This window comes from Homo sapiens, chromosome 18, assembly GCF_000001405.40.
Source record: "Homo sapiens chromosome 18, GRCh38.p14 Primary Assembly".
In the NCBI taxonomy this organism is placed as follows: domain Eukaryota; kingdom Metazoa; phylum Chordata; class Mammalia; order Primates; family Hominidae; genus Homo; species Homo sapiens.
Window position 1 is genome coordinate 37,296,463 of NC_000018.10, and position 16,069 is coordinate 37,312,531.

General features: G+C 54.1%; 1 protein-coding gene across 125 annotated transcripts in view, besides 1 other annotated feature; it reads right to left on the reverse strand.

The window, feature by feature from the left end:
* CELF4 (CUGBP Elav-like family member 4) overlaps positions 1–16,069 on the reverse strand; it is a 322,955-nt gene that overhangs the window by 53,619 nt on the left and 253,267 nt on the right. The gene's annotated exons all lie outside the window — the stretch shown is intronic.
* Positions 9,546–10,127: an enhancer, noted in NCBI's record as "H3K4me1 hESC enhancer chr18:34885971-34886552 (GRCh37/hg19 assembly coordinates)". NCBI's record gives its function as "activates a minimal SCP1, AML or CMV promoter by ChIP-STARR-seq in primed H9 embryonic stem cells {active_cell/tissue: H9 hESC(primed)}" and the evidence as "EXISTENCE:reporter gene assay evidence [ECO:0000049][PMID:30033119]".

Sequence of the window (16,069 nt, forward strand, 5' to 3'; positions counted from 1 at the left end):
TGGGATTACAGGTGTGAGCCACTGCGCCTGGCCGGTTTGTTTTTAATGTGTTGGGTGACCATATAATTTATTGCCCAAACCAGGACCCTCAGGACCCTCATTGGTTTGAAAGGGAACACTATTAATAATTAGTCCAGGACAACATGCAACTCCGGCCTTGTCCTGGCACCTTGGGACTTGTGGGCATCCTGGTTTGGCTCTGTTGCCCTTCCCCTGCTGATGGCAGTCCTCCCCAATCTTGAAACGCTAACAGCCCTGCCTGTTGCTCCAGCCCACACCAGTGCCCTAACTGTGGGCCCCATTGACGGTCCAGCATCATTCTATGTCCTCCTGTTTCCTAAAGGAAGCTGTTGAACTGTCAGTCTCGGCTAGGTGGCAGTTCTGGGGCTGGTAAGTTAGCAGTGAACAGGAGGACGCCCCTTCACCCCCAAGGGCCAAACCAGGGAGCAGAATCTCCACTCCAGCCTTTTCCCACCCAGAGGCCTTAACTGGGCCAGGTGAGGAACACACCAGACTGAGGCCAGACTGGGCAAGCAGCTCAGGCCTACAACCAGAAATCAACTAGGGAGATGTTGACAGCGAGCAGGGAGAGAAGAGGGGAGCAGGGGAGATTGAAGGCCAGGCTAGGCATCAGGGGGTGCAGTGAACTGGGAGGCCAGTGGAAAGGCCACTGGAAGGGGTGGAATGGGTATAAGGTTTCTTTCCCTCCCTTTCCTCTCCCTGGCCCATCACAGTTATAAGCAGATCACCTGCTATCAGTGAAATGTAGCAGGTGGCGAGGGCACCGGGAGGCCACTACCTGCCATCTGCCAAGGGGCCTTGAATCCCACCATTAGAGCCTCATCTCTTTGGGGTAAGCATTGCTGTCTTCAGAATTCTCTTTTAAAATGCAAGATCACTTTATCCAAGCAGTCAGCCTCTCACGCTTTCACATGCATTCCTCATCAGAGCACGGTCCTCCCGCAGCAGCTGGCTCAGAGCCCTTGACAAGGTGCGGGACCACTGTCCCCAGGAGGAAAGGTCCTCCTAGGCAGCAAACTCTCCTAGCGTTATCTGGGATATGTCATCCTTTCTAGGTCTATTTTTTGTTTAAGATAAAATTTACAAACAGTGACATGCGTACATCCTAAGGATATAATGTAATAAGTTTTGACAAATGTGGACACCCACACCCCTGTGAAGATATAGAGCATTTCCGTTTCCCCAGAAGTTCCCTCATGACCCTTTCCAGGCAGGGTCCCCAAAGGCAGGTTCCTCAAAGGCACCCAGTGCTCTGAACGTCTTTCACCACTTTTTGGTTCTGCCTGTTCTAAAACTTCGTACATTAATCTAGTTGTCTGTGCCTGGCTTCTTTCGCTCGTTGTAATCTCTGTGAGATTCATCGGTGGGGCCTGGGCCATGCAAAGGCCCAGATGCCAGACCCTGTGCCCTCTGGCCGTCAAGTTAGCAGGCTGCCTTCTCCAGGCATTCAGCAGAGACTGTTGGGTGTTTGGGAAGCAGGAGTCCCTTGGCCAGAGGCGCAGCCACCAATGGTGCACAGTTCTACTATTAACTGTCCTCCTTCTGTGGTCTGCACTGGGCTCAAGGGATCTGCTGGCCTCAGCTCCACGAATGGGCTAAGGATTAAAGGTGTCTGCTAGAGTTAGGGTGAGAGGCCCAGGAGGCTGGGGTCTCAACCCAGGGCTGCAGGAAGGAGTGATGGCTGAGCCTTGGGGCCCAGGAATATCTTGAGAGTGTGTATAAAATGGCCCAAGGATCTGCAGATGCTGGTTCTTCCAAGGAGAAGGATCATAGCTTTTCTCACCATGACAGCCACCACTCTGGTCCCAGCCATGTCCACCTCTCCTGTGTGACTGCAGTGACCTCCTGACTGTCCTCTGTGTCCACACAGCAGTCAGAATGAGACAGTGCATGTCACTGCTCTACTCAAGGCCCCTGGTGGATCCCTGTTCCACTCTGAATAAAATCCAGTTTTGGCTGGGTGCGGTGGCTCACACCTGTAATCCCAGCACTTTGGGAGGCCGAGGTGGGTGGATCACTTGGGGTCAGGAGTTTGAGACCAGCCTGGGCAACATGGCGAAACATGGCAAAACCCCATCTCTACTAAAAATACAAAAATTAGCTGAGTGTGGTGGCACACACCTCCCAGCTACTCCGGAGGCTGAGGCAGGAGAATCGCTTAAACCTGGGAGGCAGATGTTGCCGTGAACTGAGATTGCGCCATTGCACTCCAGCCTGGGCGACGGAGTGAGACTCTATCTCAAAAAAAAAAAAAAAAAATCCAGTCTTAACAACAGTCTACAAGATCTGATAGGATCCTCCCCTTCTCTCCTGCTACTCTCCCCTCACTCCCAGTTCCGCTCCAGCCAAGCGGGGCCCGGTCCTGACCAGGAACACTGCTAACATGCTGTAGTCATGGCTTTCCTTTGGGGTTCTAGCATACTTTCTGCTCTCTTCCCTAGCTTGTAAGTCCCAGTAGGGCAGCGGTCACCTAGCACTTAGCATAGGGCCTGGCAGGTGGCTGTGCTTGCTAACCTTCTGTGGAACAATTCAATGGAAGAATGAAATGCTGCTTCAGTTCCCCAAAGGGATCTGTGGCCCAGAAAGGCTAAGAGCAAGTAGGCAGGATCCGAGCAGGCAATGCTGGGCCAGGCAGAGAGGGCTCCTGGGGTGAACTCCCTCCCAGGCCCCCACTCAGTCACCGCACCATGGGGGAGGGCACTAAACAGAGGCAGACCAGAAGAGGCACTGCAGCAGGGGCCAGCCTCAGACCATGAGCTAGGCTGGGGGCTCCAGAAGGCAAGACATTTGTGTCTCTTAAGCCTACTTGTTGCAAATATTTTCTTGATTTATATGTTGTTTATATGTTGTTTCACTGGCCCATCCCTTAGAAGTGAGGGGAGGAAAAAGGGATGGCCAGGGCCCAGTCACCTCTGGGCAGGGATGCTCCTGGGAGTGAGGGTCCCAGGGGCCTGGTATGGGGGCCGGGCAGAACTGGGACAGGATGGGAGCCTTGGGCCACGTGGAACCCTCCCACTCAGAATGTCGGGCTCACAGGGACAAGGGATCCAGGCCAGAGGCCCCAGGAGGAAGGTGTGAGAACCAGGAGAGGCTGGCACTGCGGGCTCGGCTGTCTCCTGCGGCGTGAGCACTGCTGCCTCTCTCTTCCCTGTGTGTCACTTAATGTTTGCAGTTAAGTATTTACAGATATGTTCCCATGGCAACCAAAGCCTCAAAGTTACTCTCACAATTCTGTTTTCTCAAATGTGTTTCTCTGGCTGATTGCACAGGGTTTTCTGGAAGCCAGCCAGGCTGAGTGAGTCACATTCCCTGCCCTGTGCTCCCATGCTTTTTCCCTTCCCCCTCCAGGGTCCAGCCAGCCAGCATGGTCCCCACCCCCATCTCTCCCACGCTGAACAGAGCTCCCGGGCCCATACTCCCCAGCTTGGTCAGGTTGTCCCAGGGCCTGGAGTGCAGAGCCACAACCCCCACCATCTAGACCCTCCAGCTCTCTGGATCATTGCAAGCTTCCCCTTCCAGGAATCCTTCTCCAGCTTCCCTGGCCCATGAGGCAGACCTGAAACTGCCCCCACCCCATGCTTCTTGAGGTTCCTTAAAGGTGGGGTCTTCCGCCTTCACTTCTGACCCTGGACACCTGGCCTGGGGGCCCCATTCACATAATCCCTGCTGTTGTAGGTGTTCACTGAACACACCACACTCCCTTGTGCCTGCTTGTTGCATGTGATCTGATCCCATGCTCCAGCACTTTTTTTTTTTTTTGATACGGAGTCTTGCTCTGTTGGCCAGGCTGGAGTGCAGTGGCATGGTCTCAGCTCACTGCAACCTCCACCTCCCAGGCTCAAGCGATTCTCCTGCCTCAGCCTCCTGAGTAGCTGGGATTACAGGCACCTGCCACCGCACTTGGCTAATTTTTGTATTTTTATTAGACACAGGGTTTCACCACATTGGCCAGGCTGGTCTCGAACTTCTGACCTCAGGTGATCCTCCCGCCTCGGCCTCCCAAAGTGCTGGGATTACAGGTGTGAGCCACTGCTCCTGGCCTCCAGCACTTTCTTATGGCACTGCCCTGTGGGTCCCTGTCCTGCGCATTCAGCCATTCATTTCCTGAGCTCCTGCTCTGGGCAGGGCACTGTGCAAATTGCCAAGATACAGAGAGGAACAAAGAGTCCCTGTCTGCACGGAGCTCATCTCTAAGTGACAAGGGATGGATAATGAATAAGAAACAATCAGGGTAGTGATATATGCCATGAATAAAATAAAACAAGGAAGCAGATGGAGGAGCTGGGGCTGCATTAGGTTGGAAGTCAGGACAGGTCGTGGGTAGAGGGACACAGAAGCTGAGACAGGGTGAGCAGCAGTGGCATCTGGGGGTGCCTGGCAGAGGGAGCAGCTAGTGCAAAGGCCCAGAGCAGGTAAGTTTGAGGAACAGCCATGAGGCCAGGCGCCTGGAGCAAGAGATTCAGGCAGGCACTAAGGCAGCAGGGCTGGGAGTGGTAAAAGGCTTGGACTTCCATGTAAGTGAGGATGACCAAAGCATCTGATTGGGCCACTGTGTAGAGAATGCAGTGGTGGGGCAGGAGACACAGGAGGAGGCAGGCAGATAGAAAGGAAGGGGGCAGTTGTCCAGGAGACAGAGGATACTCCAAGTGGGCAGGGATGGAGGAGAGTTCAGATGAGCAAAACTGTGGCACCAAAGCAGCCAAGCTTGGTGGAGTGTATGTGGGAGGTGAGGGCTGGAGAGGATGTCAGTGTGACTGCCTGGGGTCCCAGTGGGTCCTATTGCCTCAGCTAGACTGAGAGGCCACTGCAGGTGCTGCCACAGCCCCCTGTCCCTGCCTGATTCCTTGTTTCTATCCTCCGCCAGACTGGACACTAAAAGACGGCAGAGATGGGGGCATGGGTCCCTGTGATGGCTCAGTGTCCAGCCCAGCATACCCGGCAAAGATGGCTGCCTCCCCGCAGCCCCAGAAGTAGCCCTCCCCCAGCAGGACAGCTACCACAAAGTCCCAGGGACAGGTGTCTCCCTCCATCTGATTGCACTGGGGGCTGCCTCGTGCCAGGCATGGGGCTGGACCATGTGTTTCCTCCCAGCTCAGCCCTGCTCCAGGTTGGGGGTTCTCCTCCTCTGGGCTGCCCTTCCTCAGGTTCCATGAGCCTGGAGATGCAGAGGTGCTCAGAGCTGGAGCCCAGGCTGAACCACCGCTCTCTGTTGGACCCTGCTGGGAGCGTGAAGGCTCTGAAGGTACCTCCTTTAAAGAGCCGGAAGGCCTCACTCGGCTAATGGCTCATTGAGTGGCTGTTTTGCTACCATAAGTGATTTCAGTCACTAGCCCTTAATTGATCTTATCCACACAATACATATGACACAGTGTGGGAAAGTTCCTGTCCACGGAGCAGGTAGGTCTCTGGCATGGCATGCCATGCCACCCACCTTTCCCCTTCCCCCTGCTCTACTGGCCTCACCACCACTGTCCAGACCTCCCGCCTGCTCTGGGCAGGTGTCATTCAAAACTGGGGAACATCGAAAAACTCAGGCCATCCAAAGGGTTGAACAGCATGCAAACCACTTTGGTTGGCTTTGGAATATATGTTGACTTTCACAGCGAACAAGTTGGATGCTTATGGGAATTTGGGCCGTATTAATAAAACTCCCAAGAATACACTGGAAGAACTGTCCAGAATGCCCACCGGCCACCCCTTCCTGGCACAGGTGGATGGAGTTACCTGTCCAATGCCCCACCTCATCAGAGCCCCTCCCCTCCCCTTCTCCTATCCTCTCCTGCTGCTGGAGTTGGCTAAGCCCCAGTGTGTGGGGAGAATAGAATTCCTGTCTGTATCCACACAACTTGAGCCCCTAAAGTGCTTCCTTTAAGTGGCCAGAAGGCCTCACACTGCCTCTGTCCCCTGATCATTGGGGCAGGCACCCCTCTTATTGGATGGGAATTATCGCCCCCAACATCAGCCAGCAACATGGCCCCTGGGAGCCCCTTCTGATGAGGGCACAAGCTGCACAAAGGGAAGACAGACATGAGGACACCTATGAGGGAGGATGCACATCAGTGACCACATCTGAAGACGCTGGGATGACACTGGAAAACACAGCTTTCCTGGAGGTGGGGAGGTGGAGGGAGGGAAATGGATGGGTGAGGATTGACGCCTCCCCAGGCTTCCAGGTGGGAGGCACAGCAGAGTTTCCTGGGTGCTGCAGGGGATGGAGAATGTGAGCCTGAAGCTTTATTAGGGTGTGTGGTGTGTTCTGAAAGTCAGACTTTCTCCCAGACCAGCAGGGTGAGCTTTCAGGAGGCAGAGGGTGGTGCGGGGAGCAGGCAGGCTGGCTGGTTGCAACAGCTCCCTCCAACAGCATTGCTTCCTAGTCCACTTTTTCCTTCAGAGTGGTCAGGAGCAGCCAGGAGCACAGGCTGTCTGAGGGACAGGGTGCACAGCTAGGCCAGGCACAGAGGAGGGGTGGGAGAGGAGAGTGGGAAGGGGGCTCCATCTCCTGCAGAAACTGGGGGCCCCTGGAGGGTGCTTAGCAAGCAGGGAACTGAACACTGTAGGAGGGGAGAAAGAATGAAGCAAAGATGGTGGAAGAGAGGAGAAGGAACAGGCATGAAAGTACCATTGTTCTCAGCACTTCCTTTGGCTCATTTGAACCCCCTGGGTGAAGGCTTGCTCTGGCTAGAGGCATGACAGAAGTGCAGCAGAGCCGTGGCCCCTGGGAGGCCCAGAGCCCACAGGCATTGAGGGCTAAGGGGATTTGGCTCTGTTCCCTCCTCCCACCTACCCAGGCCCCCTGCAAAGCTTGCTCTGCAACAGGGAGAGATTAATATTTGAAATCCTGGCAGAGGTCTCCTTCCTCCACTCCCCACCCTTCACTTCCCCACAAAAAGGAAAACAGTCGTTGAAATTGAAAAATGGTGCTCAGTGAAGGGTTTAAAGACATTTTGAATTTAAAGTATATTTTAAAGGTCATTTTCAGCAGTAATTATGTTATAATGGTGGGGCTCTTAGCAAAAGGCAGTCCCCACAGTAATATCAGACCAAATGAGAATCGGGGAGAGCTTGGATCTGCAGTCCTCAGAACTAGGCTGGGCAGAGGTGAGGCGGGTGGGGAGAAAAAAAGGGAGGCAACACGTCCTCCTTTTTAGAGCCACGTCTTGGTCACTGCTGGCTCTCCAGGTCCCCAGGAACAGGGAACTACACAGTTAAATTTGGCCCTGGCATGGAAGCGTCCTCCAAAATCCCTCCCAGGCTAGCCTTGTGGGCTTTGGGGGATTCACAGGACCCTCTGATGAGGCAGGTCTGGCCTCCTGTCTGACGGGACATTCTACCTCCTCCCCACCCCACCCCATGTCCTTTCCTTCTGTTTCCAGACACTGTCATTCTGTGGCCCTCCTGGCCGTAGGCATCCCAACCCCTCCTGGAGACAAGTCCCTGGGGGTAGCATCATAGGAGAAGGCTTCCCTGGGCCCCAGCCCCATGGTAAGTGCCAGACACCTGCCTAGGCCTGTACCCACTACTGCCTGACCCAGGGCCAATGTTGCAAGGAGCCTTCATTTGGCATTTCTTGCCCATCAGTTGTGCTCTGAATTTTTTTGAACAGACTGGGACATGAATACACTGGCTATTTGTCTGAACCTCACCATTTTCTACCCTATATCCCCAACTTACAAACCCACGCAACCTGGGCTCACATTCTCCCTCAGTGAAGGCATCCATTCTTTGCCGGAAGCATCGCCCACACAGATGCTTCACACAGGCTTGTGGAAGCAATGCACGGAAAACACATGCATGAGCACCTGCTATTAATCAGAATCAAAATATTCTAGAAGGGCTGGCTATGGGTGAGACACTGACCAGGCCCCAGGGGGTTCCATGAGACAGCAGGCTTCCAGACTATGGGGAGAAGACACTGCAGAGGGCAGTGAGGAAGGGATATAGCTGGGATTGTAGGAACAGCCAAAAGGCCCATGGTGGGGCAGTGGGTGGAGGTAACCTGGGAGGGCTTCATGCAGGAGGTGTGTGGGGCATAAATTCAAGGACAAACCGACCAAAGAATGAAGAACAAAGAGCCAAGAATAAAGAAATGAGCTTCAGCTTCTTTCAAGCCTTGGCCACTGCCAGTCCACCTGGGGAGAGGCAGGTTCATTTTTAGGCTTCTGCTGGGTCCCCCAGCTCAGCAGAGCTCTGGAGGTGGGGTGAGGAGAACAGAACCAGGCCTGGGGACAGCACTGTGTGGTGTCTCCCTGCCCTCAGCCGCCCTGCCACTATGGGCTTCCTTTCGGGGGAAGTAGAAGCGGAGCACCCAACTAAGCAGTGCTGCCCCTTCCATCAGCCCTGGGGTGGCTCTCCGCAAAAGGGAGGCTGTCCACAAAGAAAATTGAGGGTCCAGAAGGGAGGGGGAGCAGGTGGGGGCTGGAAGTCCCAAACAGGAGCCAGCAGTGGTCCCAATTGGCCTCCACAGGAATAGGGTTCCCAGGTGGGGGAGCATGGCTCAGGGATGGTGGTGGCAAAGGGACTGGTGGGGATGTGGACCAGAGCCTTGGAGGTGGCCACAGCGTGGAGGGGAACAGGAGGAGGAGAAGGGGTGAAATATAAAAATATCTGGGAGAAGTGCAACACTGGGCTACAGTGTTATTAAACTAAAGCATCTTATAAAACTCGAGCCATTAATAACAGGCTGCCGCCACGTTGGGGTAATTTATTCAAATTGCGGGTCCGGGATGGAGGAGCAGATGTTTCAGAGCTGCTGGTGTCACTGAATGAGTTTCAGAGGAGGAGGGGTGGTGCCAGCATTCGCGGGGGCTTGGGGCGCCGCGCACCCTCCTTTGTCCCTCTTAGCAAATGTCTCCGCTCCACATTCCACAACACGGTGGAGACTCACCCAGTCTGCTGGAAGGGAGGAGGAAGGATCAGACTGTGGACAGCTAATTTAGGTCAGCAAGTGCCGGGATAGAAAACTAGGGTGTAGGACAGGCAGGCAGGTTCCTCTGTCTAGAGTGTAACAGCTCCCATCCCGGCCTCTGCTGGCCTCTGTACTCTGCTATCCCCTCCAGTTGAAATGCTGACTCCTACACAAAGTCACCCATGGTTTTCCCAGACCCACAGTGGGGTGGTGCTGGGAGTCAGATGGCCTGAGAATCAGATGGGCCTGGGCTCCTTCCTAAGTGCACCACCCACCAGCTGGTAACCCCAGCAAGTGAGCTCATGGGCCTCAGTGTCCTCATCTATACAATGGAGCAGTGATACCTAAGTCATGGTCTGGGGGAAAAAGAAACACATTGACCCACAGGAAGGCCTTGGCCCACTCCAGGGGGCTACTAAGGTAGGTTGGTGTCTGGTATTGAACCTGATGGCCCTCACTGATGGTCAACTTAGTGCTTTGATTCTACATCTGTCCCTCTCTTCTAATTGTTTCCTTGGTTTTACCCTCAGCTCCAACCAACTGTAAACACCCTGAGGCCGAGAATCACGTTGGCCTGGGAATTGGAGGGGGTATGGGGCACCCACTCTGCTTACAGCTGAGTTGGCGCACTGGACAGAAGGACAGGACCCAGTGGGCTTCTGCCCTGATGGGGAAGAGGCATCAAAGCTCGCACAGGCCTTCCCTTAGACTCAGCGCAGCCCCCTGGGTTTTGAGCAAACCTGGGTCCTGGTGGGGGGCCAGGGCCTCAGGGTTGGGATGTGGCCACAGTTTCTAGGACAGAGACTGTCAGGCAGTCCCTGAGGACTGACTGTCAAGCCCTGGGGCAGAGGGACTTCTGTAGATGGAAGCCCTCCTGCCAGATCTGCCTTCCGGCAAAGCAGAGGCGCCCTGTGAAGTCGTCTTGGACTCTGTCACTCCCCTCCTGGCGTGTCTAATGCTAGGGCCGGGGGCACTGCTCTGCTGATGTCTTCATGCCTGTGAGTGACTCCACCTGGCTCGTGGGTGACTTGCTGTGGATGTGTTGATTTTTACTTCTTACCTCTGCCCCAGGACAGGGGACACAGAATGGGCCCAACAAATTCAGAGTGCTTTGACTCCCAACTTCAAATGTGTGAAAGGAGATTTTCTCCTCCTTTGTCTGCTTGGCAGAGCCGGGTGGCTGCTCACTGAGTGGCTTTGGGTGTGGCCTAGCCCAGTCAAGAGGTGCTCTGTGCTGCCCCTGCCTGGGGGTCCCAGCCTTGTGCTTGGACTCTGGCCAATCACTGACAAGAGCCCTTCAGTGGCCCCGATGGCATGCCGTGGTGAGCGGTGAGCGGATAAAAGGAAATGTCCCAGTTGGAGGCCGACACATTTCTTCCCATGGGGCCCAGCGCTGATGGTGCCACCAAAACGTAAGGAGAGGAGAATGGGGAGGGCCCTCTGTCCCCAACACGGCTCTGACCTGAAATGACACCGCTACAGTGATACTCCGTCAGGGCGAGATTGCCGAAGCAAATTCTGCACTTGACAGGACAGCATCGCTTCATTTCTCAAATGCTGGGGCCCAGGGAGAGGGGAGAGGAGCCACGTTTGCCACCTCTGTGGTCTGGCCACTTTAGGCATGGGGGCAGGTGGGAGTGCTGCTTGTCAGAAGGCTTGGGTGAGACAGAGGGGGCCACCAAGTCTTCCCCAGGAGCGGTGAGGGAAGGTAGGTGGCTGTGATGGCAGAAGGGGGCTTGTACTCCACTCCCAGCCTGGTTGTCCCCCAGGGTGCTCCCCGCCCACCTGGCTGTGAGGGTCAGTGGCAGCCACCTGCCCTGTGCCTCTGCTCTGGGCAAATTGGACCTTCTCATAGCTCAAGGTTCATTTCAAATGAAGGAGAAATCACAGCCCCACAGTCGTGGGGCAATCAGCACGCTCTGTGATGAATGGAGCCTGTGTCACTCAGCGAAAATGAATATTTCTTTGTGATAATGGCCAGATGGTAGCAACTCTCCGATCCAAATTAAAACATGCATGATAAATGCCAGGAAAACAGAGGAAGACAAAACCCCAACCTGGAGTGAATTCTCTCTATAAATCTTCCCCCCGTCCCCCGCTCCCCCACCACCACAGCGGCCCTGCTAATAGCCATTAAATTATTAAGATGTGCCACAAGGAGAATGCCAATGTCAGTGGCATCGGCCCCACTGCCCACCCCATGCCTGTGGGCTGGGGGGTGGGGAGACGACAGAGGGGGCTGCTTTTAGACCAGCAGAGAGCCTGAAGGTAGGGAGGACGTCTGCGTAGAGATGGGCCTCATGGTACAAGCACAAGGAGGCTGTGGGGCCTGGTGGCCAGCCAGGTTCTGTGGAAGGCCAGACCTGGCTGCCCTCAAGGAGGGCACAGTCTCTGTGAGAGACAGGAGTTAACTGACATAAAGGCTCAGACAGAGGGCAGGGAAAGGGTTTGGAGCTGGGAAGGCCAGTAGGGACCCGCTGGACAAAGCATTGCAGTGGGGTGTACCGTGACGAAAGCTCTGACCAACAACATGGAGCTGGGCAGGTGGGAAGGGTCAGAGATGACTTTCTGAGGATAGACATGCGCCTGAAAGTATGCATGTTCCTGGAGGTCTGGAGGCAGCAGGTCCTGGGCAGGGCAGGGATGGCTTTGGGGCATACATTTCATAGCAATGACGGGCTCCTGAACCTACAGTCTAATTCTCCTGCCCCCTGCCCAACCCCTCATGACTGGAGGCTGCATTGGTCTCTGGATGGTCCCTCTAATTCCCTTTCCAGTGATCCCTGCAGGTGACCTGTCTTCCTAAGTCCAGCTTCTGTCAATCACCAACTCCCTCTCTGGTATCGAAGACTCCCCATCATCTTCTGGAACTGCCTCCCCACCCCAAACTCCTTTGCCTGGCGTTCCCTGAAACCTCTTCTCTGGCCAACTGGTTTCCTCCTTTTGCCCTGGGCAGGCTTTAAGCCATGGCTTCTGCATTCCTGGTCTCAGCAGCTTTTCAGCCTGGAACCCCCTGCAGCAGACACTGTCCTCCAGAGACCCTTCCCTGACTGCTCCAGCGGGCACAGGCCACCCCTCTGCCATGCAGGATGTGCTGTCTCCTCTACTCATTGGATGCTCAGCATGCTGCCGGCTGATCTCCCTGCCCCCAGACTGTAAGCTTCTCTAGGGCCCAGAGCACAGAGGAGGCTTGAAGACATCTCCTCCATGTATCTGTCTGTCATCGCCCATCAGCTCTCCAGGAGCAAGGACTGTCCCTCGAAGTTTAAAGTTATTTGCAACTGGCCATTTATGTGCAGGCCTCAAGCCTCCTAAGACATCTAGGCCAGTCACCCAGTGCCAGGATTTGGTGTCTAGGACGTTGGGATCATGGATTTTCCCCGATAAGGGTCCCGGCTGACCTCTAGATTTCTGCAAAGCCTTCGTCATTGCCAGGCCCTAGACAGACAAGGCCATGCCTGGTCAGGTTGGTTCTCAACCTGGGCATACATGGAGTTTCTCTACCTGCTCCTCCCAGCTGACCCTCCACACTCAGATAGCACAGACAGGCTCATCCTGCTGCTGGCTGGGCTTGCACCTGGGCAGGTTCAGCTTCAGACCCTCTTTGAGGACACCTGGCTGGGCTTTGACCTGGGCAGGTCCAGCCTCAGACCCTCTCTGAGGACCCCTACTACCCACCCATGCCAAAGGGTATGTGGGGTGGGGGCATGAGAAGCTAAAGAACCCAGCCTGAAGACTGAGGCAGGACCCATCCTCATCCTTAATGGATCTGATGGTTGGTATTGATGCTGGAAGAACTTCCTCTAGGTGTCAGCACCCCAGCACAGATCCGAGGGAGGACAGCAAGGCTTGGAAGACTGCCCAGAAAGACAGAGGTGCAAAGGCTGATTACTAGCCATGTGTTGTTGAGGAAGTCACCTCTCTTCTCCAAGCTCTCATTTTCCCCTCCATAAAATGGGAGTGATCCTCACCCAATTGTGCAGGGCTGCTGTAAGGCTCAAGGCACTCTTATTGGAGGCTCTGGGGTGACTTAATGAGAGGATTGAGGCCCCACTGGCTCTATTTACCTTCCTTCCAGAGCCCTAGCAGCTGCTGCTACAGGCAGTAATTGGTCCCCATGTGCCTTGTCCTGGGCTGGGTAGGGAAAAAGCAGATCCCGCTAACAGAGGCAGGGCATGACCAGGAAGACTGGATGGGAGAACGAACTAGAGAAACAAGACTCCAGGATGGGCCTGGTAAGCTTGGGCTAGAGGATGAGAAGAGACGACGTCCCCCAAATGCAGATACTATGCGCGTGTGCACGAGCAGAGGTATGCGCGCCCTGGGATGTCAGCAGCAATGAGATTCATGGTTTACCAAATCTGGGTCTTTCTATTCCAGAAAGTGGACCCTGCTCTTCAGCCAAACCATTTCTTCATTACTTTGAAATATCTAGGATGCCACATTTTTGCCTTGCTTGTCTCTGTTTTCATGCCTTTGCCTGTGACACAGTCCAGATTTGTCCTCTCAGTAGACTTGTCATTCCCATAATCACCACCCCCAGGAAGCCTTCCTTATCCCATTCCATTCTGGCAATTCACATGCTCAATATAGCTGTGGCCCCAGGCAGTATGATTTCTATTTGCACTTGTCAATCAAACCTTGCCAGAGGTCATCACCCCTGCCACCTCCTCTCTTTTCCCATGGACTGGACTATAAAAATAAAATGACAACTTCAACAGCTGTCATCAAGGAAGATTCCATAGTTCACCAACTATGTTTCTCCCGTGGCAGCTCCGAAGGGGTGTCACCATCCACTTTGCAATAGGATGATGCAGCTCTCGGGGCAAGACAGCACTGTGAGAAGGGGATGGAACTGGGACCAGAGGGCTTGGCGGGCAGTGAAGCCCAGCCAGGTCCCTGCTCCCCGCCTGCTCTCGCTCCCTCCCTCTATCCAGTTCAGCAGGCCTAGACGACTGCTTCCAAAACTCCATTTCTATCACATAACTCCCCTGCCCAAAAGCTTTAGATGGCTTCCCTTTACCTAAATGTATCCATTTAAAGCAGCTTCTGGAAATCATTGCTCCCCTGCAAAGTAGGCCCCCCATTCTGGCCTCTTGGGGTCTTCCAAGCCTGCCTTAGTTCAGATTATTTTCCCACTCGGGAAGCTCTGCTCTTTGAGCTCTTCCGTGCTCAGATCCTCCTCCCCTCTGAAGGCCAGGCAGGTGCTACCACTTCTGATCTCTCTGGTTCATGCCGTCTCATCCCTCTTCCTGTCCCTCCCCCCAATCACCTGTCCCTGCACACCCTGCCATTCCCGTGTTTTATCAGGCTGTTCCCAGTGCGGTGTGCCGGGGCCAGGGGGACGCTGGATACATCACGTTCAGGGCTCACTCAGTGCTCACTTGGTACACCAGGGCTCACTCTGTGCTGTGTGGAGGACACCACCTAGCCCTGGGAGGATTGCCTGGGAACTTTCTCTCCTCTCGCCCATCTCCCAAGGAAGTGGGGGTCTCTCTCCTCCACGCTCACATAGTGGCCGGGCCAGACGGTAGTGACATGGGAGTGGCGATGGGATGGGACACGAGAAGGCCGTGGTGCCTTCTCTCTGTCATTCCTATTCCTGGGCACACAGGCATGAGGCAGCTTTTAAATATCATCCAGAAGCCCATTTGCTATGATTAATATCCCATTTCCCCTGAAACAATCCTTTGCTAAATTAGCCGGGGCCACAGGGAATTTGTCGAGGAGCTGCGAGTCTCAACTTAACTTTCCAAATGGATTAAAAAAACTTCAAAAACAAAATGCAGATCAATCAACACCCCCTCCCACAGCTGAAAATCTAAAGTCCATTTAAATTCAGCAGGTTTGCAGTTAATTATATTTTCGCACCTATGGCAGGAGTTACAGACGTATTTATAATGTGTGCCTGCTCCGCTGGTGCCTCTGCAGGGCCCTCTCTGGGAACTCTTCCCCACCAGCCACTTCCTTCCCCAACCACGAAGACCAATTCTTCACGCAGCTGCTGTTTGGGTCCAGTTGTGTAAATAGAAGAGGCTTCCTAGCTTTTTAAAACTTATTTTTACAAAGGGGCTTAAGAAAGAAAGGAGATAAAGATTCTCTTAAATTTTAAGTCAGAAGGGCTGGCCTGGTGGCTCACACCTGTAATCCCAGCACTTTGGGAGGCTGAGGCGGGTGGATCACGAGGTCACGAGTTCGAGATCAGCCTGGCCAAGATGGTAAAACCCCGTCTCTACTAAAAATACAAAAAATTAGCTGGGCATGGTGGCACGCGCCTATAATCCCAGCTACTCAGAAGGCTGAGGCAGGAGAATTGCTTGAACCCGGGAGGCGGAGGTTGCAGTGAGCCAGGATCATGCCACTGCACTCCAGCCTGGGCGACAGAACCAGACTCCGTCTCAAAAAAAAAAAAAAAAAATTAAGTCAGAAGGAACAGGGATCGTCCGGGCGCGGTGGCTTATGCCTATAATCCCAGCACTTTGGGAGGCCGAGGCAGGAGGATCATGAGGTCAGGAGATCGAGACCATCCTGGCTAACATGGTGAAACCCCATCTCTACTAAAAATACAAAAAATTAGCCAGGCATGGTGGCGGGCGCCTGTAGTCCCAGCTACTCGGGAGGCTGAGGCAGGAGAATGGCATGAACCTGGGAGGTGGAACTTGCAGTGAGCCCATATCACGCCACTGCACTCCAGCCTGGGCTACAGAGCGAGATTCCGTCTCAAAAAAAAAAAAAAAAAAAAGAAAAAAAAAAAAAGAAGGAACAGGGATCATTGAGAATAAAACCCCAGGGCAGAGAAATGCTGCACTGTGATCTAGGGAACCTAATGGCTGGAAATGCTAAAGCAAAAATGGCAGGGAATGTGGTCAGATAGGTGACAGAACTTCCTGACCATCAAGGAAGTCATACCCTGGGCGAGCAGCTGGGCCTGGCCAGTTGCTAATCTGGCCAGTTGCTAATCCTTCAGCCCTTCCTAAACTTTCAAACCACCTGCACAGCGCCTGTCTGAGCACCACGGACTGCCCGGCCATGCTGTCTTATGTCTCACACAAACCTCTTGTGTTGTAATGTCATTTCTTAAACATCAGCCCCCAATAAACCTGGGATTCAAGTATACAAAAGATCTGTCAGGACATACGCTTG